At 41.8% G+C, this 25,430-nt stretch overlaps 1 protein-coding gene, 1 non-coding gene and 1 pseudogene across 4 annotated transcripts in view, besides 1 other annotated feature; all 3 read right to left on the reverse strand.

The window, feature by feature from the left end:
* SKA2 (spindle and kinetochore associated complex subunit 2) overlaps positions 1 to 25,430 on the reverse strand; it is a 45,330-nt gene that overhangs the window by 14,365 nt on the left and 5,535 nt on the right. For all 3 annotated transcript variants that reach the window (NM_182620.4, NM_001330399.2, NM_001100595.2), the window contains exon 2: positions 7,060 to 7,146. In NM_182620.4, the coding sequence (NP_872426.1) occupies positions 7,060 to 7,146 (87 nt within the window). The remainder of the gene's footprint in view (positions 1 to 7,059; positions 7,147 to 25,430) is intronic.
* Positions 483 to 532: an enhancer, noted in NCBI's record as "active region_12500". NCBI's record gives its function as "activates an Ori minimal core promoter by ATAC-STARR-seq in GM12878 lymphoblastoid cells {active_cell/tissue: GM12878}" and the evidence as "EXISTENCE:reporter gene assay evidence [ECO:0000049][PMID:35858748]".
* Positions 5,055 to 5,237, reverse strand: RNU2-58P (RNA, U2 small nuclear 58, pseudogene; annotated as a pseudogene).
* MIR454 (microRNA 454) lies at positions 13,537 to 13,651 on the reverse strand. The gene has a single exon (NR_030411.1). It is a non-coding gene; the product is annotated as a microRNA 454 (primary transcript).

Raw genomic sequence — 25,430 nt, forward strand, 5'->3', positions numbered from 1 at the left:
CCAGGCAAGACCAGCCTAGTAAACATGGCAAAACCCCATCCTTACTAAAATACAAAAAATTAGAACCAGGTGTGGTGGCACACACCTGTATTTCCACCTACGCAGGAGACTGAGGTGGGAGGATCACCTGAGCCCAGGAGGTCAAAGCTGCAGTGAGCCATGATCATGCCACTGCACTCCAGTCTGGACAACAGAGTGAGACTCTGTCTGGGGAAAAAAAAAAAAGTTTAACATTGGGAGGGAAATTGGTAGGAGGGAAGAAGTCATCTTCCTCATGAGGTGATAATAAATTATGTAACTTAATTATAAATGATCTTTAGGTAACTGGAATGTAGCTCAGTAGTGAAATACCCAGAGATCTGCATGTATTAATATAACTCAGGAGAATGATGAGTTCCCCAAATACAGATTCATACAGGAAAAAATAAAAGTGACAAGAACTAATCCTTGAGGATCTCACAAAACTAGGAAAGGAAAGTTGGTATATAAAGCATAAGAAATAAATGGCCATAGAGCTAAAAGAGAGGACAGGGTAGTTGGGCAGCTACCCATAATACATGTTTTTATGACATTAGCTCGATCAATAAGACTGACATGGCAGTGAGTAATTTAGGACAACATGATTTGCATTTATGGCCTGTTTATGACAGGTTAGGACTGTGGTTAGGACTTAGCACCATACCACAAAGGAAAAACTGTTGTGCGCATAGCCTGTTTTATTTGAGTAACTGGCTGTTGGGAACCACTACATTCTTTTTTTTTTTTTTTTGAGATGGAGTTTCGCTCTTGTTTCCCAGGCTGGAGTGCAATGGCGGGATCTCAGCTCACCGCAACTTTCGCCTCCCAGGTTCAAGCAATTCTCCTGCCTCAGCCTCTCAAGTAGCTGGGATTACAGGCATGCGCCACTACGCCTGGCTAATTTTGTATTTTTTTTTTTTTTTTTTTTTTAGTAGAGATGGGGTTTCTCCATGTTGGTCAGGCTGGTCTTGAACTCCTGGCCCTCAGGTGATCCACCCGCCTTGGCCTCCCAAAGTGCTGGGATTACAGGTATGAGCCACCGCGCCCGGCCAGGAGCCTCTACGATTCTTTTATTAGTGTTTGTAAACTGTGCTGCACTTTAGTTAATTTTGTGCCTATAATACTTCAATTCATTTTAGGGTTTTAGTTATCATGAGTGGATGATAAAAGGTTACAAGAATGGCTGAGCGAGGTGGCTCACGCCTGTAATCTCAGCTTTGGGAGGCCAAGACTGGTGGATCACCTGAGGTCAGGAGTTCAAGACCAGCCTGACCAACATGGTGAAACCCCGTCTCTAATAAAAATACAAAAATTAGCCAGGATAGTAGCGGGTACCTGTAATCCCAGCTACTCGGGAGGGTGAGGCAGGAGAATCACTTGAACCCAGTGAGCCGAGATCATGCCATTGCATTCCAGCCTGGGCGACAGGGTGAGACTCCGTCTCCAAAAAAAAAAAAAAAATGATTACAAAAATACATAAAAATACTCTGCTAATGATAGTGCTGGTGATGGGAGAAAAGAAAAGCCAATATATGAACAAAAAGCTCAGTTCAATTAAGTCTTTTGAAAGAAACAAAAGGAAATGAATTATACTACTAAGCTTAAAAGAATCTATAGGGAAAATGTTCATAAAATAAAATTATGTTTCTCTGCCGGGCGTGGTGGCTCACGCCTGTAATCCCAGCACTTTGGGAGGCAGAGGAGGGCGGATCACGAGGTCAGGAGATCGAGACCATCCTGGCTAACACAGTGAAACCCCGCCTCTACTAAAAATACAAAAAATTAGCCGGGCTTGGTGGCGGGTGCCTGTAGTCCCAGCTACTCGGGAGGCTGAGGCAGGAGAATGGCGTGAACCCGGGAGGCGGAGCTTGCAGTGAGCCGAGATCGCGCCACTGCACTCCAGCCTGGGCGACAGAGCGAGACTCCGTCTCAAAATAAATAAATGAATAAATAAATAAATAAATAAATAAATAAAATTATGTTTCTGGAACAAATAAAGTTGAAGAATATAGTAATAGAAACTTATAGTTTCTTGTTAGCTCTCTGTAAATAAACAAATCCTAGCCAAAAATGTTGACTTTTATGCAGAATTACTGACTGCCTCCAAATCACGAGGGGTACTAGAATGAGGATAATGCAGCTAAACCAAATTATATGTATGGATGTGGGTGTGAGTATACAAACACACACATACACACACACCACAGTGGCTGGCACATAGTAATGTTCAATAAATATTTACTACTACTATAACCACCCTGCCGCCAGACAGAGGTATTAGAGGCTACTGCAACTAGTTGTTTACTTTCTTTCCTGTTCCTTTACATGTATATAAATCATTAAGACTGATGTTGGACAAATCTACAAAGATTAAAATCATGGCTTTATTCTCAACTATAACACACGAAAAAGGGAGAAAGCAGAGATTTTCTTGAAGTTATTGAATATTACAGGAGTTAAAAAGTCATATTTCCTCAAAAATTGAAACACAGAATTACCATGTGATCCAGCAATTGCACTTCTGGGTATAAACCCGAAAGTTGAAAGCAGGTACTCAAACAGATACTTGCATACCAGTGTTCATAGTAGCATTATTCACAGTAGCCAAAAGGTGAAAGCAAACCAAATGTCCATTAACAGATGAATCGATAAACAAAATGTGGTACATACATTCAATGGAATATTATTCCACCTTAAAAAGAAAGGAAACTGACACTGCTACACTATATATGAATCTTGAGAACATTATAAGTGACATACATGAGTCACAAAAAGACAAATATTATATGATTCTACTTATATGAGTCCCTAGAGTAGTCAAATTGATAGAGACAGAAAGTAGAATGGTGGCTGCTAGGAGTGGAAGAAAGGAACGTGGAGTTATTGTTTAATGGATATACAGTTACAATGTGGGGAGATGAAAACCTTCTGGAGATTGATGATGGTGATATTGTACAATAATGTGAATGTAGTTAATGCCAGTGAACTGTTCACTTAAAAAAGATTAAGATGGCTATCAGGTATAAGGACACGTGCCTGTAATCCCAGCTGCTAAGGATATTGAGGCCAGAGGATAAACCTAGGAATTGGAGTTCAGCCTGGACCATATTAAAATGGTAAATGTTGTTATTTACATTTTACTACAATTTCTTTTCTTTTCTTTTCTTTTGAGACAGTCTTGATCTGTCGCCCAGGCTGGAGTTCAATGGCGCAATCTGGACTCACTGCAACCTTCACCTCCTGGGTTCAAGCAATTCTCCTATCTCAGCCTCCCAAGTAGCTGGGGTTACAGGCTCGTGCCACCACGCCCGGCTAATTTTGTATTTTTAGTAGAGACGGGTTTCATCATGTTAGCCAGGCTGGTCTTAAACTCCTGACATCAGATGATCAGCCTGCCTCAGTTTCCCAAAGTGCTGGGATTACAGGCATGAGCCACCACACCCAGCCCACAATTTTTTTTTTTAAACTGAGAATGTAAAATGCTTTAGATGCCTTGGAAAACAGTTTGGTAGTTCCTTAAAATATTAAACCTGAGTTATCATATGGCCAGCAATTCTACTCCAAGGTATATACTCGAGAGAAATGAAAACACATGTCCACACAACAACTTGTAAATGTATGTTCATAGCAGCCAAAAGGTGGAAACAACACAAATGACCACCATCAACTGATGACTGGATAAGAAAATGGAGTATGGGCCGGGCACGGTGGCTCACACCTGTAATCCCAGCACTTTGGGAGGCCGAGGTGGGTGGATCATGAGGTCAGGAGTTTGAGACCAGCCTGGCCAACATGGTGAAACCCTGTCTCTACTGAAAATACAAAAATCAGCTGGTGTGGTGGCACGCACCTGTACTCCTAGCTACTCAGGAGGCTGAGGCAGGAGAATCGCTTGAACCCAGGAGGCGGAGGTTGCAGTGAGCTGAGATTGCACCACTGCACTCCAGCCTAGGGGACAGAGCAAGACTCCATCTCAGAAAAAAAAAAAGAGAGAGAAAAGAAGATGGAGTATAGCCATACAGTGGAGTATTACTCAGCAGTAAAAGCAAATGAAGTACTGATTGACGCTACAACATGGATGAAACTTAGAAACATCCTAAGTGGGCCAGGTGCAGTGGCTCATGCCTGCAATCCCAGCACTTTGGGAGGCCGAGGAGGGTGGATCACCTGACGTCAGGAGTTCAAGACCAGCCTGGCCAACATGGCAAAACCCTGTCTCTACTAAAAAATACAAAAATTAGCCAGATGTGGTGGCACACACCAGTAGTCCCAGCTACTCAGGAAGTTGAGGCAGGAGAGTTGCTTGAACTCGGAAGGCGGAGGTTGCAGGGAGCAGAGATAGTGCCACTTCACTCCAGCCTGGGTGACAGAGCGAGACTCGGTCTCAAAAAAAAAAAAAAAAGAAACATCCTAAGTGAAAAAGTTAGACATGAAAGGTCATATATTATATGATTCTATTTATCTGAAATGTTCAGACAACAAATCTGTGGAGACAGAAAGTAGATTCGTCTTTGGGAGCTTGCAGGATAGCAGGGAAGGGTGGTAGGGAGTAGCTACTCATGGGTATGGGGTTTCTTTCTGAGGTGATGAAAATGTTATTGTGGCAATGGCTACAAAACCATGAATACTAAAAGCCACTTAATTATATACTTTAAAGGGGTGAATTTAATGGTATATGAATTATAGCTCAATAAAGCTGCTTTTTTAAAAAGTTGCAGGAAAAAAAATACCCACAGGTGGAACAAAGATGAGAGATGGAAGTCAGAGGAAAAATGGGAGCACTACACGTCAATGTCTTTCAAAACAGTACTTGAAAGATACTGACTAGGTCAGGCGTGGTGGCGCACGCCTATAATCCCAGCACTTTGGGAGGCCAAGGCAGGTAGATCGCTTGAGTCCAGGAGTTCAAAACCAACCTAGGCAACATGTTAAAATCCCATCTCCACTAAAAATACAAAAATTAGCTGGGTGTGGTGGTGTGTGCCTATAGTTCCAGGCACTTGGCGGACTGAGGTGGGAGGATTGCTTGAGCCCAGGAAGTCAAGGCTGAAGTGAGCTGAGATTTTGTTACCGCACTCCAGCCTGGGTGACAGAGTGAGACCCTATCTTAAACACACATACACACACACACACACACACACACACACACACACACACGGTCTTTAAACTGATAAAAACAGATACTACACTTGATCTTAGCCAAAAGGCTGAGAAGAAATATCACAGGAATCTTTAAGACAAAAGAAAGAAAGGAAGGAAGGGAAGGCAGGGGAAGGAAAGAGAAGGAATGAAGGAATGGAAGGGAAGTGAGGAAAGAAAGGAAGAAAAGGAAGGAAAGGGCCAGGTGTGGTGGCTCACGACTAATCCCAGCACTTTAGGAGGCTGAGGCGGGTGGATCACTTGAGGTCAGGAGTTTGAGACCAGCCTAACATGGTGAAACCCCATCTCTACTAAAAAATACAAAAATTAGCCGAGCATGGTAGCCTGCGCCTGTAATCCCAGCTACTCGGGAGGCTGAGGCGGGAGAATCCCTTGAACCTGGGAGGTGGAGGCTGCAGTGACCCAAGATCACACCCCTGAACTCCAGCCTGGATAACAGAAGGAAGGGAAAGGAAGGGAAGGGAGGAAAGGGAGGGAGAAGAAGGATGGGAGGAAGGAAAAGAGGGAGGGAGGGAGGGAGGGAAGGAAGGAAGGAAGGAGAGAAAGAGGGAAGGAGGGAAGGAAGGAAGGGAGGAAGGGAGGGTAAGGGGAAGGGAAGGAAGAGAGAAAAAGAGAGGGAGGGAGGAAGAGAGAAAGAGGCGGGGGGGAGAGAGAGAAAGAAAAAAGGGAAGAAAAAAGAGAAAGGAAAGAAAGAAAAGAATAGGGAGCTAGAACAGTACAAACTACACTCCCATAGAATTCTAGCATTCCATGAAATAAACAGTAAAAACTGAACATTCGTGAAATTTTCCCAATTTTCTATAAAATGTTAGTTTAACTTATACTTCTACCCAATCCAAAAAAAAATTTTTTTAATTGTATGGAATTTTTTTTTAACTGTAAAATGCACTGTTTCTTGTCTGCTGGTAAGTGCTATCAAAGACAAATATTGGTCGCACGTGGTGGCTCATGCCTGTAATCCCAACACCTTGAGAGGCTGAGGTAGGCAGATCACTTGAGGTCAGGAGCTCAAGACCAGCCTGGCCAACATAGTGAAACTCCGTCTCTACTAAAAATACAAAAAAAAAAAAAAAAAAAAAAATTAGCTGGGCATTGTGGCGCACGCCTGTAATCCCAGCTACTTGGGAGACTGAGGCAAGAGAATCGCTTGAACCCAGGAAGTGGAGGTTATGGTGAGCTGAGATTGCACCACTGCACTCCAGCCTGGACGACAGAGTGATCCGTCTCAAAAAAAAAAAAAGATAAATATTAATTAAGCCTGATACCTGGGCTTTGGGGAAAAAAAGATAAACATTATTGAATTAGTGATTTTAGTGTTAATGTTAACAGACGATGCTTGGAGATTATTTACTTTCACCCCCATGAACATGTATGTATACTTACACTTAATGATTTTATGACATAAAGCAGAGTTAATGTTTCTAATCAACCTAAACTTAGAGTAATTAAATAGATAGCTTTATCTAGAAATCACTATTCATAAAATATAAGTAAAAAATCTAATAGTGTATCATTACCTTCCTCAGAGAATATGCTGACTGCCAGGACTTCTCCCCTCAAACTTACTGAAGAACAACTGCCCTAGAGGTAGCTATATTCTCTCTTGGAATTTCAGAGGCTGCCACAGTGGCTTGTACCTCTGAACTCAATGATTATTTTTTAAAGGTTAGGGGAAAAAAAGTAGCCACAAATTTCACGGACTATTGGTACTATTTCTCCAGTGTGCTATAACCAAACTTCCAACACAATGCAAGATTTTAAGATTCTATAAACTTAATAATATAATTCTTATGATCTATTACTATTAGGAATGCTATCAGAAAATTCTAAAGTATTCAGTTAAGGCTGATTTTTTTTAAGCTTATTTATTTCGGAGATTACCTCACTTGCTGAATCAGGATGATTAGTCTTGATTTCATATTCCAGCCTGTATTGAATGTAATCCAGATCAGACTCAGCTTTCTGGAACTAAAGATCAGCACAAATCATTATTGTGTAAACCAAAAGACTAATAGTAAACATGATACTTTATTCTTTTTTTCTCTTTACATTTGTTAGTATTTCAATAAGTGATACATACTCATTTGAAAATGTGGAAATAAAAAGTATATAAAATATCCATTATCCATAATAACTATGCTCTATGAAAAATTTAAAAAGTAGTTAACATTTTAAAGTCATTCATTTCTCTATGCCTCTCTCTTACATTTTGAGCCAAAATCAAGATACTGAGTAGCCATTGTCAGATATTAATACAAAAAACTAATAATGACGTCAATAATTTCCTAGGGTCACAGATACTCTCATCAGTTAGGCAGTGTTTTTCTACCTCTGGCAGAAAATACACTTTCAATTTAAAACACAGAACAAATTTATTTCAGGAATACTCATATTGTTACCTTTATTTGCAATCCCATTGATCAAAGAGCTACAACTATGTGCCACTAAAATTAAGAGGGCTTAAAGAGTCACAAATTTCACAAGAAAAGCTACATATGATATGGGAGTAACAGTCTGAATAACCCCAATTTACTGAACCTGGGTGCCAGCATGGGAACTTGATCTGTAGTAAACCTCAAAGGAAGAAAAAAGGGGAGAACTACCACCCTGAGGCCATTATGGATATAGGATGCCTGAATTAAAGTGAAAAGTTACATTTAAAAATATCAGTATTGGCCGGGCACAGTGGTTCACACCTGTAATCCCAGCACTTTGGGAGGCCAAGGCAGGTGGATCACCTGAGGTCAGGAGTTTGAGACCAGCCTGGCTAACATGGTGAAACCTCATCTCTACCAAAAATACAAAAATTAGCTGTGCATGGTGGCAGAAGCCTGTAATCCCACTTACTCGGGAGGCTGAGGCAGGAGAATCGCTTGAACCCCGGAGGTGGAGGCTGCAGTAAGCCAAGATTGCACCATTGCACTCCAGCCTGGGCGACAAGAATGAAACTCCGTCTCCACAAAAAAAAAAATAAGTATTTGGGGCCAGGCACAGTGGCTCATCCCTGTAATCCCAGCACTTTGGGAGGCTGAGGCGGGCGGGTCACTTCAGCCCGGGAATTCAAGGCTAGCCTGGCCAACATGGCAAAACCCCATCTCTACTAAAAATACTAAAATTAGCTGGGGATAGTGGCATGTGCCTGTGGTCCCAGCTATTTGGGTAGCTGAGGCACTAGAATCAGTTGAACCGAGGAAGCGGAAGTTGCAGTGAGCCAAGATTGGCCACTGCACTCCTGCCTGGGTAACAGAGCAAGACTCTATCTCATAAATAAGTAAATAAGTAAATATCAATATTTGGAATACCATGCCATTATTGAAAACGATGATATACAAAAAAATACTTAAGGGGGGGCTTTCACATTTTACTCTATTTCTGTAGTATTTGTAATGAGCAGCTATTTAACCTTTCAAAAGGTCATTTGTTTTTAAAATGATAATGTATAGACAGATTTGACATGACACTATATTTATGACTCATTAAATACAAAAACAGCCTTGAGTATGTTATGGCCTCTTTTTGTAAAAGAGATGTATACATATACAAAGTTGAGATGGATATATGACAGTGTTAAAAAGAATTTTCTTTTTCTTTTTTATGAGACAGGGTCTTGCTCTATAGCCCAGGCTGAAGTGTTGTGGCACCATCATAGCTCACTGCAGTGTCAAACTCCTGGGCTCGTGGGATCCTCCTACCTCCTTCCGAGTGCACCTGGGACTACAGGCACATGCCATGGCACCCAGCTAATTTTTGATTTTTTACAGAGACAGGATCTCATTATGTTGCCCATGCTGGGCTGAAGCAGTCCTCCCACCTCAGCCTCCCGAAGTGCTGGAATTACAGACGTGAGCCACCATGTCCAGCCTAAAAGTGGTTTATTTCTGCAAGCGGTATAATCAATGAATTATTCTTAACTTCATGAAATTCCGCATCTTTTACAGGACCTTAAAGCATATATTGCCTCGAGTTTATCAGGGATATAACTGTCCTTAGAGTTTACTACAGAAAGGAAAACATGATTTCCACAGGCATGGTCTCCTATTCCTATCCCAAAACATAGGAGGCTGTTTGCAGGGAGGGTGCTGCTCTTATTATGAACTTTATCACTGAACTAAAGATTGATTCTCAAAATCCTGAAGCCTTAGTGGAAGGGGAAAAACTGTTAAAAGCAGTTCTCAGGTCTAATAAGAAATGATGTACAGTTATTTTTAGTATATAAAAGGTTCTATTAGGACCCTACTTTCAAATGTAGAGTAAGACAAAATGGCTGTCAGAAATTCAAATGCTTCTAAGGTCAGAAGCTGTCATCAAACAGAATTTCAGAAATAAACTAGTTTCCATCACTAATAATTTCTCTTATCATTGACCTAAATTGGAATGGAAAACTCTGCAATGACCAAAATTCTATCTTTATAGCCAAAACTTGGGGGGAGGGTACAGATAAAAGAAAGAGAAGGTTTTTGTTTTTAAACATATTTTCCAGGTCAATATCTTATTTCCATCTCTAACATCAGGGAGTTGCTCTAAGCCAGAAAAATTAATGTTGGGTACATAATTACAAAGTGTGTTTAAAATGATTTCCAAAAAGTGGAAGCTTTTCATTTATCCTCTATACTTGTCAGATGAGATGCCACGATTAAATTAATCAATAATTACAACTCCTTAAAAATACTAATGTTTGTGTCTGTGTGTGTATTAAGAAATTCCTATTTGCATAATTTCTCATACTAAGATATACTTAGGGATTATCTTTTCCTATAAATAAGAAAAGTACACTAACCCATAAAACATGTGGATGGAGAGAATGAGGAGAGACCAGGAGCCAGAGCAAATCAAAGTTAACAAAGGCTGTGAGCACTCAAGACCTGATTTTGTTTGTCTTAATTACTGAACAGACCACAATTCCATAGCTTTTTTCAATGAGTTATATAACATTCTTAAGCACAACTTTAAATACAAGTCTTTAAAGCTTGTTTTAGTCATTTAATTTACCATAAATTATGGAATTTGTGGCTCCAGAGATTCCTAAGACAGAATCTCTATTCTAGAAACCCTTAACATGTTTATGAAACGAAGTATTAAACTTACATATTTTTTAACTTGATATTTAGTTCTGCTTGAAGTTTAGCATAATCTCATGTAGTTCCTTGAATGGTAACTTTCCTTTTTTTTTTTGGAGGAGTCTTGTTCTGTTGCCCAGGCTAGAGTGCAGTGGCACAGTCTTGGCTCACTGCAACCTCTGCCTCCGGGGTTCAAGCAATTCTCCTGCCTCAGCCTCCTGAGAGCTGGGACTACAGGCCTAAATTGTCCTAAATTTGGCAACTGAGACCTCCAAGGTTTGAAAGATTTTTACAATAATCTAACGTATATGTCACAAAACATGATGAGTTTGGGGGACACAAAACTCCCAAATGTAGACTATATTCATATATATATTTTTGTCATTTATTTTTTTTGAGACAGGGTCTCACTCTGTCATACAAGCAGGAGTGCAGTGGCAACAACTCGGCTCACTACAGCCCCAACCTCCCAGGCTCAACAGATCCTCCCACTTCAGCCTCCCAAGTAGCTGGGACTACAGGCACATGCCATTACGCCTGACTAATTTTTGTATTTTTAGTAGAGACGGGGTTTCACCATATTGGCCAGGCTGGTCTCGAACTCCTGACCTCAAGTGATCGGCCTGCCTCGGCCTCCCAAAGCGCTGGGATTACAGGTGTGAGCCACCAGCCTGGCATCTTTTTAAGAGAGAGGTTTCCACTATGGTTTCCTGCAATACCTAGGGGCCCAAAATGTGTTAACCATCAAATGGTACCAAAAAGAGGCGGTTTCTACTTTTAAATAACTTTTATTTTAGGAAGATACCAAAGAGTACCCTTCTAATCAATGGTATGATGAAATCAACTAAACTGTCTTTTTTTTTTTTTTTTTTTTTTTTTAGAAGGAGTCTCACTCTGTCATCCAGGCTATAGTATAGTGGTGCAATCTCAGCTCACTGCACCCTCCACCTCCCGGGTTCAGGCAATTCTCCTGCCTCAGCCTCCAAGTAGCTGGGATTACAGGCACCCGCCACCACACCCAGCTAATTTTTACTCATTTTAGTAAAATGGGATTTCACCATGTTGCCCAGGCTGGTCTCAAACTCTTGACCTCCAGTGATCTGCCATGCTTGGCCTCCCAAAGTGGTGGGATTACAGGCTTGGGCCACTGCCCCCAGCCTAAACTGTCAAGATTTTTTGCAAGACAATTATTAAACATAGGCATCATTACAAATTAAATTATATAAATTAGCCGGACACGGTGGCTGAAAAAAATATTTTCTACCACACCCATCCTGAAAAAATATATTTAAAAAATATATTTTTAAAATATATAAAATAATTTTTAAATATATATTTTAAAATTTTATATTGCATATTTAATTTTATATTTTAAAAAATATATTTTTAAAAAATATAAAATAATTTTTAAAATATTTTTTTAAAAAGACAAGAAAAACAGCTTCTGCTAGATTTGATGTGTACTTGTAGTCCCAGTTACTTAAAGAGCTGAGGCAGGAGGATTGCTTGAGCCCAGGAGTTCAAGGCTGCAGTGTATTATAATCTCTCCTGTGACTAGTCACTGCACTCCAGCCTGGGCAATATAGTGAGACCCCATCTCCAAAAGGAAGGGAGGAAGGAAGAAAAAAAAAACAGCTTGTGGGTAGAATGTTATCCTCTGTGGAAAATTGTATAGAACGTCTAATAACACACAGGGGCAGTACTGACTTATTATTATTATTTAGACCGAGTTTCGCTCTTGTCACCCAGGCTGGAGTGCAGTGGCGCGATCTCGGGGCTCACTGCAACCTCTACCTCCCAGGTTCAAGAGATTCTCCTGCCTCAGCCTCCCAAGTAGCTGGGATTACAGGCGCCTGCCACCATGCCTGGCTCATTTTTTGTATTTTTAGTAGAGACGGGGTATCACCATGTTGGGCAGGCTGGTCTCGAACTCCTGACCTCAGGTGATCCACCCACCTCGGCCTCCCAAAGTACTAGGATTACAGGTGTGAACCACTGTGCCTGGCCAGTACTGGCTTATTAGTGAAGTCAGTGGGCTAGGGAATAAGCAGGGGGCAAAAAGGATGCCAAAATGTTGAAAGATAGAAAAATAAGCTTTTTTTTTTTTGTTTGAGACGGAGTCTCACTCTGTTGCCAGGCTGGAGTGCAGTGGCACAATCTTGGCTGACTGCAACCTCCACTTCCCGGGTTCAAGCGATTCTCCTGCCTCATCCTCCCGAGCGGATGGGACTATAGGCGTGCACCACCATACCCAGCTAAGTTTTGTATTTTTAGTACAGACAGGGTTTCACCATGTTGGCCAGGCTCGTCTTGATCTCCTGACCTTGTGATCCGCCCTCCTCGGCCTCCAAAAATGCTGGGATTACAGGTGTGAGCTACCACGCCCAGCCGAAAAATCATCTTAAATGTCTGCTCTGAACCCTTCATTTTATAAATGAGAAAATAGCAAAGTAACTTGCCTCTAGTTCTATTTCCATTACTGTTTTCTTATGTAGTTAGACAAAGTTATAGATGATATTTAAGCCATTAAGAGTCACACATGTGGAAAAAATGTAAATTCTTTTTTTTCTTTTTGAGACAGGGTCTTGCTTTGTTGCCCAGGCGAGTGCAGTGGCACAAATCACAGCTCACTGCAGCCTCAACCTCCTGGACTCAAGAGATTTGATTCTCCTGCCTAAGCCTCCTGAGTAGCTGGGACTACAGACGTGCACTACCAAACCCAGCTAATTTTTGTATTTTTTTGTAGAGACAAGGTCTCGCTATGTTACCCAGGCTGGACTTGAACTCCTGAGCTCAAACAATCTTCCCGCCTTAGCCTCTCAAAGTGCTGGAACTACAGGTGTCAGCCACCACACCCATCCAAAAATGTACATTCTTCACCTAAAATTAAAGTTTTTTTATGTTTTAAATTAATATCACTAAAGTTACAAAGCTAGTCAACTAAAAATTCCCTCTGAACACAACATGGTAGTATGGTACAGAAAAATAAAAGAATTCGGATACATGGTAGAAATTCTAGTCCTAGTATCACTAACCAGCTATGTGTCCCTAGGTTAAGTCCCTCATTTCTTTGGGTCTCTCCTATCAAATGAGTTGGAATCTAAGATCCTTTTCAATACTAAAATTCCATTATTTCTTTATACTACAAATAAACCCATTTGTCAAAAAGAAAAGTTACCTTCTTCTAATAAATTAAAAATTTACATTTAAGCCTCAGATTTTAATGTTTATAGTGAAATCTAGTTCCTTGTTTTCTTCCTAAAGATGACTTTTGCTTGTTTCTGCTACATACTTTCTGCAGCCTGCCCATTGTTCTTTCCAAACACCAAAACCCTATAAGCAATATTGCACTACTCAGAACTATTTACACAGCAGAGACAATATTGATAGGGTTCTAGGATCTGGTGATAAACAGAATTTTTTTTAGTTAGATGGCAGAAATTCACTAAGCAATTATGATAATCTAAAACTCATTAGTGTCTGATAAATCGCGCAAATTTGATTCTGATAAACATCATTCACAGCCCTTTCAGTTACAAATCAGCCTCCTGGAAGCCTTGGAAATCAGTGAGGTTATTGTTTAACTTTTTAGGGGCAATGGAATATTTAAAATAAAACTAGTGATTTTTGTAAAGCCCAAGATATTCGTATTTCAGAAACCAGTTTTCTCTAAAATCAGTAATAAAAATAAAGGGGAAAAGTTTTATACTGATCTGAAAAGTGGTATATAAAATACAAAATTAGGTGAAAAAAGTCTATGGAAATCATCATGAAAGCACCCCAAGGGAAACCAGGTTACATTCTGCCAGTTAGATTTCTGATTTTTTCCTCCTATTTTGGAATATTTGCATAATAATTACTGGTTGAGCATCCCTAATCTGAAAATTCAAAATCTGAAATGGTCCAATGAATTTTGGATTTTGGAGCATTTCAGATTTTGGAATTTTGGATTAGGGATGCTCAACCAGTTGTTTTGTTTGTTTGTTATTTTTTGAGACAGCGTCTCACTCTGTTGCCTAGGCTGGAGGGCAGTGGCGCAATCTCAGCTCACTGCAACCTCTGCCTCCAGGCTCAAGCAATTCTCATGCCTCAGCCTCCCGACTAGCTGGGACTACAGGCACACGCCACAACGCCTAGTAAATTTTTTGTATTTTTGGTAGAGATGGGGTTTCACCATTTTGCCCAGACTAGTCTTGACCTCCCGAGCTCAAGTGATCTGCCCGCCTCGGCCTCCTGAAGTGCTGGGATTACAGGCATGAGCCACCGCGCCCAGCCTGTTCTAGTCTAGTTTTCAATATGACCAGTTTAAGGCTTTAAGTAAGTGGCACAAGGTATTCCATACTACTCAACTATTAGGCAGCAAGGAGAAAAGAATATATTGCGGTTGTCACAATATACTGTGTGGTCCTCAGTTTTAAAACACTTGCTTTTTACAAACAACCCCTAGATTCTCATTGCCACCGTATGCTCTCCTACAAAGGACCAGTGCCCTTAAAGCTCTAAACACATCCTCTTATGAGAGACCTTATCTCAACAGCATTAAATTACATAAAGTGAAAAAAAGTATTTCAGTCTCACCTATGGTGGGCTAGGCATAGAGAAGAGTTGGTAGACAGGTGTGTTCTGGACTTACTAAACAGGCTTAGAAATGCATTTTCCGGCTGGGCGCAGTGGCTCACGCCTGTAATCCCAGCACTTTGGGAGGCTGAGGCGGGCGGAGCACGAGGTCAGGAGATTGAGACCATCCTGGCTAACACGGTGAAACCCCGTCTCTACTAAAAATTCAAAAAATTAGCTGGGCATGGTGGTGGATGCCTATAGTTCCAGATACTCGGGAGGCTGGAGCAGGAGAATGGCATAAACCTGGGAGGCAGAGGTTGCAGAGAGCCGAGATGGCGCCACTGCACTCCAGCCTGGGCAACAGAGCAAGACTCCGTCTCAAAAAAAAAAAAAAAAAAAAAAGAAATGCATTTTCCATAGAAACATTTTAAGGGAGAATTAAGTATCTTAATGGAACTAGTTTGGCTATAATCAAAAAACCTACTTTTATTTTTATTTTTAAATTTTTTTTGTTTTTGAGATGAGTGCTCACTATGTTGCCCAGGCTAGTCTCGAAATCCTGAGCTCACGTAATCTGCCCGCCTTGGCCTCCCAAAGTGCTAGGATTACAGGTGTCAGCCACTGCACCCGGCCAGAATCTACTTTTTGTACATTTTCTTCTCTTCAATGTACATTTAGAAACACCTTTATCTACTCTCCTTTTACTTTGTTCATGGCTTTGGTTTACCATCTACTGTATTATATTTTAATCTATGTTTACATGGTAATGTCGCCACATGGTTTCAAACATCTTCCTGGCAAGAGATCGCTTTTTTGTATCCTTAGTTTTTAATATACAGCCTAATGTGCAGTGACAAAAGGGAATAGATGAAAGAACAAACATTCATTCATTTGAAAGAACAAACCACCTGGGAACCCAACTACCCTTTAAAACACGTTTTAAGGGAAATATTTCAAGTTCCCAGCAAGCTAAGGACCACTTATATCATGTCTCCACAATCAAAATTGGTTTTTGCCTTTTTCTGCTGGAGAAAGTATTGACTATTACCCATTCTCTCTTCCAAACAGAACAAATGCATGACTATGCTTGTCCAAAACAGATAAGCAGTAACATGCCCTAACACCAGGTCACAGACATGTTATTTCAGGCAATTGGCAACCAGAGGGGATAAAAGTGAGCAAGGGCTTCAGGTTCATCAGTTCCCAATCTGCAAGCTTTTTTTTTTTTTTGAGATGAAGTCTCGCTCTTGTCCCCCAGGCTGAAGTGCAATGGCACGATCTCAGCTCACTGGGTTCAAGCCTCCTGGGTTCAAGCGATTCTCCTGCCTCAGCCTCCCGAGTAGCTGGGATTACAGACACCTGCCACCATGCCTGGCTAATTTTTGTATTTTTAGTAGAGACGGGGTTTCACCATGTTGGCCAGGCTGGTCTCGAACTCCTGACCTCAGGTGATCCGCCTGCCTCAGCCTCCCAAAGTGCTGGGATTACAGGTGTGAGCCACTGCGCCCGGCCCAATCTGCAGGCTTTTATGGAACAATTGCTAGGATATATACATAAGCCCCTGCCTCTAAAAGGCTAGTTTTATTTGTACTATTTATTTTTTTATTTTTTTGAGATGGAGTCTTGCTCAGTTGCCCAGGCTGGTGTGTAGGGGTGCAATCTCGGCTCACTGCAAGCTCTGCCTCCCGGGTTCACGCCATTCTCCTGCCTCAGCCTCCCTAGTAGCTGGGACTACAGGTGCCCACCACCACACCCGCCTAATTTTTTTTTTTTTTTTTGGTATTCTTTAGTAGAGACAGGGTTTCACCGTATTAGCTAGGATGACCTCAATCTCCTGACCTTGTGATCCACCCGCCTCAGCATCCCAAAGTGCTGGGATTACAGGCATGAGCCACCGCGCCTGGCCTAAAAGGCTAGTTTTATCAGTCAAAGTAGACTACTTAACTTTTTTTTTTTCCTTTGTAGAGACAGAGTCTCGTTTTGTTGCCCAGGCTGGTCTCGAACTCCTGACTTTAAGCGATCCTCCCGCCTCTGCCTCCCAAACTGCTAGGATTACAGGTGTGAGCCACTGCTCCAAGCCTTAAATAATTTATGTAATTCGGCTGGGCACAGTGGCGCATGCCTATAACCCCAGCACTCTGGGATGCTGAGGTGGGTGAATCACGAGGTCAAGAGATTGAGACTATCCTGGCCAACATGGTGAAACCTTGTTTCTACTAAAAATACAAAAATTGGCTGGGTATAGTGGCGTGCGCCTGTAGTCCCAGCTACTAGGGAGGCTGAGGCAGGAGAATTGCTTGAACCTGGGAAGCGGAGGTTGCAATGAGCCGAGATCGCACCACTGCATTGCAGCCTGGCGACAGAGCAAGACTCTGTCTCTAAATAAATAAATAAATAGATAAATTGTGTAACTCAAATGACAGCCGCGGCTGTGCACAGTGGCTCAGGCCTGTAATCCTAGCACTTGGGGAGGCCGAGGCAGGTAGATCACTTGAGCCCAGGAGTTCAAGACCAGCCTAGCCAATATGGTGAAGGTGAAACCTCATCTCTACAAAAAATACAAAAACTAGCCAGTGTGGTGGCATGCACCTATAGTCCCAGCTACGCAGGAGGCTGAAATAGGCTTGAGCCCGGGAGGTCCAGGCTGGATTGAGTGGTGATCACATCACTGCACTCCAACCTGCATGACAGAACGAGACCTTGTCTCAAAAAAAAAAAAAAAAAAAAGAGAGCCTAGGCATACTTCAAAATTATGGCACGTGATACCAAGAAACTCAGTGGCTTAAAAACTGATCATTTATTTTCATGGACCTGCACATTGACCCGGTTCAGGTACTCTAGGCTAGGCTGAGTTTGGTGGCTTTGCTTCACACAGCAATTCTGGAGGATGCCTGGTAGGACCTTTGCTACTGGTGTCTCTCATCCTCTTTGAACCCATGAGATATTCTCATGGAGCTAGAGGAAACATAAGAGTAAGCAGAAAGATTCAAGGTCTCTTAAAGGCCCAAGTTCAAAGCTGCACACTGTCAATTCTACCCACATGCCATTGACCAAAGCACATCAAGAGGAGAAAAATGTACTCTGCCCATCATGAAGTCATGACAAACATGTGGATACAGGCAGAAGTGAAGAAATGGGGTGAATTATTCACTTTACCACAATTCTTCTATTTTCTTTGAGAACAATCAGAGTAGGTCATGGTAGTACATGTAAGTGACAGGGATGGTGTTATTGCACGAATATTCAGATAAATTCTTTAGTTTATATATGGTGGGTTTTTTTTTTTTTTTTGAGATGGCGTTTCGCTCTTGTTGCCCAGGCTGGAGTGCAATGATGTGATCTCGGCTCACCGCAACCTCTGCCTCCTGGGTTCAAGCGATTCTCCTGCCTCAGCCTCCCAAGTAGCTGGGATTACAGGCATGCACCACCACATCCAGCTAATTTTGTATATTTAGTAGAGATGGGGTTTCTCTATGTTGGTCAGGCTGCTCTCGAACTCTCGACCTCAGGTGATCCACCCATCTCAGCCTCCCAAAGTGCTAGGATTACAGGCGTGAGTCACCGTGCCCAGCCTATGTATGTATTTTTTTAATTTTTATATTTTAATATTAAAAAAAAAGAGAGACAGGGCTGGGTGCAGTGGCTCATGCCAGTAATCCCAGCACTCTGGGAAGCCGAGGTGGGTGGATCACCTGAGGTCAGAGGTTCAAGGCCAGCTTGACCAACATGGTGAAATCCCATCTCTACTAAAAATACAAAAATTAGTCAGGTGTGGTGGTGGGCACCTGTAATCCCAGCTACTCGGGAGGCTGAGGCTGGAGAATTGCTTGAACCTGGAAGGCAGAGGTTGCAGTGAGCCAAGATTGTGCCATTGCACTCCAGACTGGGCAACAAGAGCGTAACCCCATCTCAAAAAAAAAAAAAAAAAAAAAAGAGAGAGAGACAGTGTCTCACTGTGTGGCCCAAAGCTGGTCCTGAACTCCAGAAATCAAAACAATCCTCCTGCCTCAGCCTCCCAAAGTGCTAGGATTATAGGCGTGAGCCACCATGCCCAGCTAGGTTTATTTTTAAAAGATGTCTCTCTTATTTATGGTATCTTGTAGCAAATAGAGCAATAACAAGTATAGAATAATCAATATATAATGGTTTTAATCAGGAGCTGTTGAATTTCCCTATATTTTATCCAAAACTTTTTTCTTTTTTTTTTGAGAGAGTCTCACTCTGTCACCCAGGCTGGAGTGCAGTGGTGCAATCTCAGCTCACTGCAACCTCCACTTCCCAGGTTCAAGCAATTCTCCTGCCTCAGCCTCCCAAGTAGCTGAGATTACAGGCCCCTACCACCATACCTGGCTAATTTTCGTTATTTGTTTTTTGTTTTAATTTGAGTCAGAGTCTTACTCTGTTGTCCACACTGGAGTGCAAGGGCGCCATCTCAGTTCACTGCAACCTCCGCTTCTGGGGTTCAAGCGATTCTTCTGCCTCAGCCTCTCGAGTAGCTGGGATTACAAACGTGCCCAGCTAATTTTTTTGTATTTTAAATAGAGACAGGGTTTCACCATGTTGGCCAGGCTGGTCTCAAGCTCCTGACCTCAGGTGATCTGCCCACCTCAGCCTCCAAAAGTGCTGGGAATACAGGCGTGAGCCACTGCTCCTGGCATAATTTTTGTATTTTTCTCGAACTCCTGACCTCAGGTGATCCTCTCGCCACGGCCTCCCAAATGCTGCGATTATAGGCGTGAGCCACCACGCCTGGCCCCAAAACTTTAACTGGATGTTTACATGTAGATGTTTTAAATTAAGGAATATAGGTTCATGATTACTATAGAATATGAATTTAAAATGATTAAAAATGTTTAGGAGTGTGGGCGCAGTGGCTCATGCCTGTAATCCCAGCACTTTGGGAGGCCGAAGCGGGCGGATCATGATGTCAAGAGATTGAGACCATCCCGGCCAACATGGTGAAACCCTGTCTCTACTAAAAATACAAAAATTAGCGAGGCGTGGCGTCATGCGCCTGTAGTCCCAGCTACTCGGGAGGCTGAGTCAGGAGAATCGCTTGAACCCCAGAGGCCGAGGTTGCAATAAGCCGAGATCACGCCCCCAGAGGCCGAGGTTGCAGTAAGCCGAGATCGCGCCACTGCACTCCAGCCTGATGACAGAGCGAGGCTCCATCTCAAGGAAAAAAAGTGTTTAGGAACCTACTCATAGTCATTAGGATAGTCACCATAAAAAAAAAAAAAAAGACAAGTGTTGGAGAGGATGTGGAGAAACTGGAACCCTTGTCCACTGTTGGTGGAAATGTAAAATGGTATAGCAGTTGTGGAAAACAGTATGGTGGCTTCTCAAAAAACTAAAAATAGAATTACCATATTATCCACCAATTCCACTTCTGGGTATACACCTAAAACAACTAAAAACAGGGTCTTAAAGAGATATGTGTATACCCATTTTCATAGCAGCATTATTCACAATAGCTAAAACAAGGAAGCAACACGAGTGTCCATGGAGGGATGAATGGATAAGTAAAATGTAGTACATACGTACAATGGAATCTTATTCCGCCTTAAAAAATTGAAGGAAATCTGCAATATGCTGCCACAAAAAAATGGATGAATCTTGAGAACATTTTGCTGAATGAAATAAGCCAATAATAAAAAGACAAATACTGTATGATTTCATTTAAATGAGGTATTTAGAGTAGTCTAAATCATAGAGACAGATAGTAGAATGGTAGTTGCTAGACGCTGGGGGGAGGGGAAAAGAGGAGTAATTGTATAATGGGTATAGAGTTTCTTTTTTATGTTTTGAGATGGAGTCTCACTCTGTCGCCCAGGTTCCCAGGTTAGAGGGCGACGCTGCATCCTCCACCTCCCGGGTTCAAGCAATTCTCCTGCCTCAGTCTCCCGAGTAGTTGGGATTACAGGCACACACCACCACACCCAGCTAATTTTTTGTATTTTTAGTAGAGACGGGGTTTCACCATGTTGCCCAGGCTGGTCTGGAACTCCTGACCGCAGATGATCCACCCACCTTGGCCTCCCAAAGTGCTGGGATTACAGGTGTGAGCCACCATGCCCAGTTGAGAGTTTCAGTTTTACAAAATGAAAAGGTTATGGAGATGGATGATGGTGATGGTTGCACAACATTATGAATGTATTTAATACCACTTAAAATTGTTAAGATCATAAACATTATGTTACATGTATTTTAACACAATAAAAAAATAGGGAAAAAAGTTCACAAACGTAATAAACAGTATGGTAAGAAAACTTAATAGCTAGAATATTGATCTTACTTTCTCAATACTCCTAGCTCTCCCTCTCAACAGTATACTGCAACCCTTGCAGTTTCCCCCAGTTGTACAATAAACACTCATCTCTGGACGTTCACATGTACTATTTCCTCTGCCTGGAATATTTGCCCTCTCCTTCAGTTGGCTAATCCCTACTCATCTTTCAAGTCTCAGATTATATCTCACCTCTAAGAAGAAATCTTTCCCAGGTTAGTTTCCTCTTTCCAATGTGCCCCCATAATATCTAGTATCTATTTTTCCCATCATGTCATCTGTATTTAATTTATATGTGTACTTAATCACAGATACATTAGTCAACATATTTATCTGTGTCTCCCAGATAAGTTTCTTAATATCTTTAGCCTCTGTTACTAGCCCGATCTAGAAACACTTAATAAGGCCAGGCATGGTAGCTCAAGCCTGTAATCCCAACAATTTGGGAGGCTGAGGTAGGAGGATCATTTGAGTCCAGGAGTTGGAGACCAGTTTGGGCAACAAAGGGAAACCACGCCTCTAAAAAAGTTTTTTAAACTAGCCAGGCATCATGGTGCAACACCTGTGGTGTCAGCTACTCGTAAGGCTGAGGTGGGAGGATCACTTGGGCCCGAGAGGTCAAGGTTGCAGTAAGCTGTGATTGAGCCACTGCACACCAGCCTGGGTGACAGAGTGAGACCCTATCTCAAAAAAAAAAACAAAAGGAAACACATAATGAAACAAAGTAGGAAGCACTTTTATCTACAATTAGGCAAATTAAGTGGGGAGAGAAAGGATTTGTAAAACTACAGCTCTTACATTTACTAACAAAAATGTCTTAAAAAGTTATATTTATTTTGCAGTCACTAAATCACTAGATGAAACCTTAGCAAAAATTGGCTAAGATTATTTCCTTATTGATAAAATGAGACTACACCAGGCTCGGTGGCTCATGCCTGTAATCCCAGCACTTTTGAGAGGCCAAGGTGGGAGGATCACATGAGGCTAGGAGTTTGAGACCAGCCCGGCCAATGTGGTGAAACCCCGTCACTACTAAAAATACAAAAATTAGCTGGGCATGGCGATGCACGCCTGTAATCCCAGCTACTCGGGAGGGTGACGCAGGCAAATAGCTTGAACCCAGGAGGCGGAGGTTGCAGTGAGCCAAGATGGTGCCACTACACTCCAACCTGGGTGACAGAGTGAGACTCTGTCTCAAAATAAATAAATAAATAATAAAATGAGAATAAAAATATTGAACTCAAAGAATCAAGGACTGATTCTAACTTTTAAAATGTTATATATTGAGATAAATTAGAAGTACGAGCTTATAAAATCTAATTAAGAATAGCTATTTTATTTATCTGGGATATTCTTTCTTTCTTCATTTTTGTTTTTGAGACAGGGTCTTGTTCTGTAACCCAGGATGGAGTGCAGTGGCAGCACAATCATAGCTCATTGCAGTCTTGATCTTCTGGGCTCAAATGATCCTCCTGCCACAGCCTCCTACGTAGCTGGGACTACAGGCACCTGTCACCACACCGAGCTAATGTTTTTACTTTTATTTTTAGTAGAGACGAGGTCTTGCTATGTTGCCCAGGCTGGTCTCAAACTCCTGAGCTCAAGCAATCCTCTGTCTCGGCCTCCCAGAGCGCTGGGATTATAGGCGTGAGCCACTGCACCTAGCCAATCTGGGATGGTCTTTTTTTCTTTTCTTTTTTTTTGGGGGGGACGGGCGTGGTGGCACATGCCTGTAACCCCAGCTACTAGGGAGGCTGAGGCAGAAGAATCGCTTGAACCTGCGAGACAGAGATTGCAGTGAGCCGAGATCACAGCATTGCACTCCAGCCTGGACAACAAGAGCAAAACGCCATCTCAGAAAATAAAAAAAGAAACAATGTCCTCAAATGAACCCCTTGGCCCCTCCTCTAGGTTATTAAAAAAACAAAAACAAAAACAAAAACAAAATCAAAATCCTACCCACTATTCTAACAGCCCACTAGAGAACAGTAAGAAATTGTAATTAAAAGCCAAAGAGGAAAGCAGCTGCGCTTAAGGCCAGGGCTGGTAACTAAGAAAGAAATTTTATATATAAGACACACACACACACACACACACACACACACACACATTTGGAATAAAATGGCTTTATGATGAGGATTTATGTCCTTCATTCTCTACAAATGATGTCCTTGAGTTCATGCCTAACATTTTAGGTATCTTTCTTCCCTCTGGTATCTGTATTTTCCCAACTATTTTTAAAGGACTTTTGCTTAACAAATAGCTTACTTTCTTCTGAAATTCAATGCGTTTAGAACCCATGTTGTAACTGTTCTTGATCTACTTTTTTTTTTTTAATTTTATTAGAGATGGAGTCTGGCTATGTTGCCCAGGCTGGTCTCGAACTACTGGGCTCAAGTGATCCTCCTGCCTCAGCCTCCCAAAGTGTTGGGATTACAGGTGTGAGCCACCGTGCCTGGCCTTTGCTCTATTTTTAAGAGCACTAGTAGAAATCACACTAAACAGACTATTAAATATTGTTTTAAGCAAAAAAAAAAAAAAAAATTTTTTTTTTATTTGAGACAAAGTCTCACTCTGTTGCCCAGGCAGGAGTGCAGTGATGAGATCTTGGCTCACTGCAACTTCTGCCTCCCAGGTTCAAGCAATTCTCCTGCCTTAGCCTCCCAAGTAGCTGGGATTACAGGGGCACACCACTGCACTAGGCTAATTTTTTGTATTTTTAGTAGAGACAGGGTTTCACCATGTTGGCCAGGCTGGTCTTGAACTCCCTCAGGTAATCTGCCCGCTTCGGCCTCCCAAAGTGCTAGGATTACAGGCATAAGCCACCATGCCCAGCCAAAAAAAGAAAAAAAGTTTTTAATTTTAAAAAATTATAAGCAGACCTACACACTGAAAATTGCAAAACTGTCGAGAGAAAATTTTAGAGACCTAATAAATGAAAAGATATGTTTGTGCACCAGAGGGCTCGATATTGCTAACATAACAATTCTCTATCCGGCACAGTGGTTCACTCCTGTAGTTCCAGTACTTTGGAAGGCTGAGGCAGGAGGACGGCTTGAGCCCAGAAGTTTGAGACCAGCCTGGGCAACATAACAAGACCCCATCTCTAAAAAAATAAAAATAAAAAAATTTTTTTGAGATAGGATGTCACTGTCAATAGGCCGGAGTGCAGTGGCACAATCATGGCTCACTGCAGCCTCGACCTCCCCAGGCTCAGGTGATCCTCCCATCTCAGCCTCTCAAGTATGTGGGACTACAGTCTTGCGCCACCACACCCAGCCAATTTTTCAATTTTTCTGTAGAGATGAGGGGGTTTTGCCATGTTGCCCAGACTAGTACAAAAAAAATTTTTTTAATTAGCTAGGAGTGGTGGCACGTGCCTGTGGTCTCAGCTACTTGGGAGGCTGAGGTGGGGGAGTATCATCTGAATCTTGGGAGGTCAAGGCTGCAGTGAGCTGTGACCGCCACTGTACTGCAACCTGGGTAATAGAACAAGACCCTGTCTCAAAAAAAAAAAAAAAAAAAAAAGAAAAGAAAATAGGCAAAAGATTGTGAGACATTTCACTAAAGAAGATATACAAACTACAAATAAGCATATGAAAAAAGGTTTAACATCATTAGTTAAGGAAGTGCAAATTGAAACTACAATGGGGCACCACCACATAACTGTTAGAAGGGTTAAAATTAAAACTGATATTTTTGCATCAACCTAATACCAAGTGTTGATAAGGTTATGGAAAAACTAGAACCCTTATCAATAGCTTTGGGAATGCAAAATAGTACAGCCACTTTGAAAAATATTTTAGCAGTTGCTTATAAGATCAAGCATACTTTTTTTCCCCCAAGGATACATTTATCAGGCTACCAGAAATCCCATTTCAGTATTTACTCAAAAGAAATGAAAACATTACGTCCACACAAAGACATACTCATGGCGACTCACTCCCAGAACCCCAGCACTTTGGGAGACTGAAGTGGGAAGATCATTTGAGCCCAGGAGTTAGAGAACCAGCCTGGCAACATAGTGAGACTTCATCTCTACAAAAAAATTTTTCAACTAGCCAGGTATGGTGATGCACACCTGTAGTTCCAGCTACTCAGCAAGCTGAGGTGGGATTGCTTGAGCCTAGGAGTTTGATGGTACAGTAAGCTATGATCACACCACCGCACTCCAGCCTGGGTGACAGTATGAGACCCTGTCTCTAAAGAAAAAGAAAAAAATATTGCTAAAAAAAAAATTAAACAAAGACATTTGGGAGGGCAACACAGGAGGATCACTTGAGCTCAAGAATTCGAGACCAACCACAGCCATTTTATTCATAATATGCAAAACGTGGAAATGACCCGAT

This window comes from Homo sapiens, chromosome 17 (assembly GCF_000001405.40).
Source record: "Homo sapiens chromosome 17, GRCh38.p14 Primary Assembly".
NCBI lineage: Eukaryota > Metazoa > Chordata > Mammalia > Primates > Hominidae > Homo > Homo sapiens.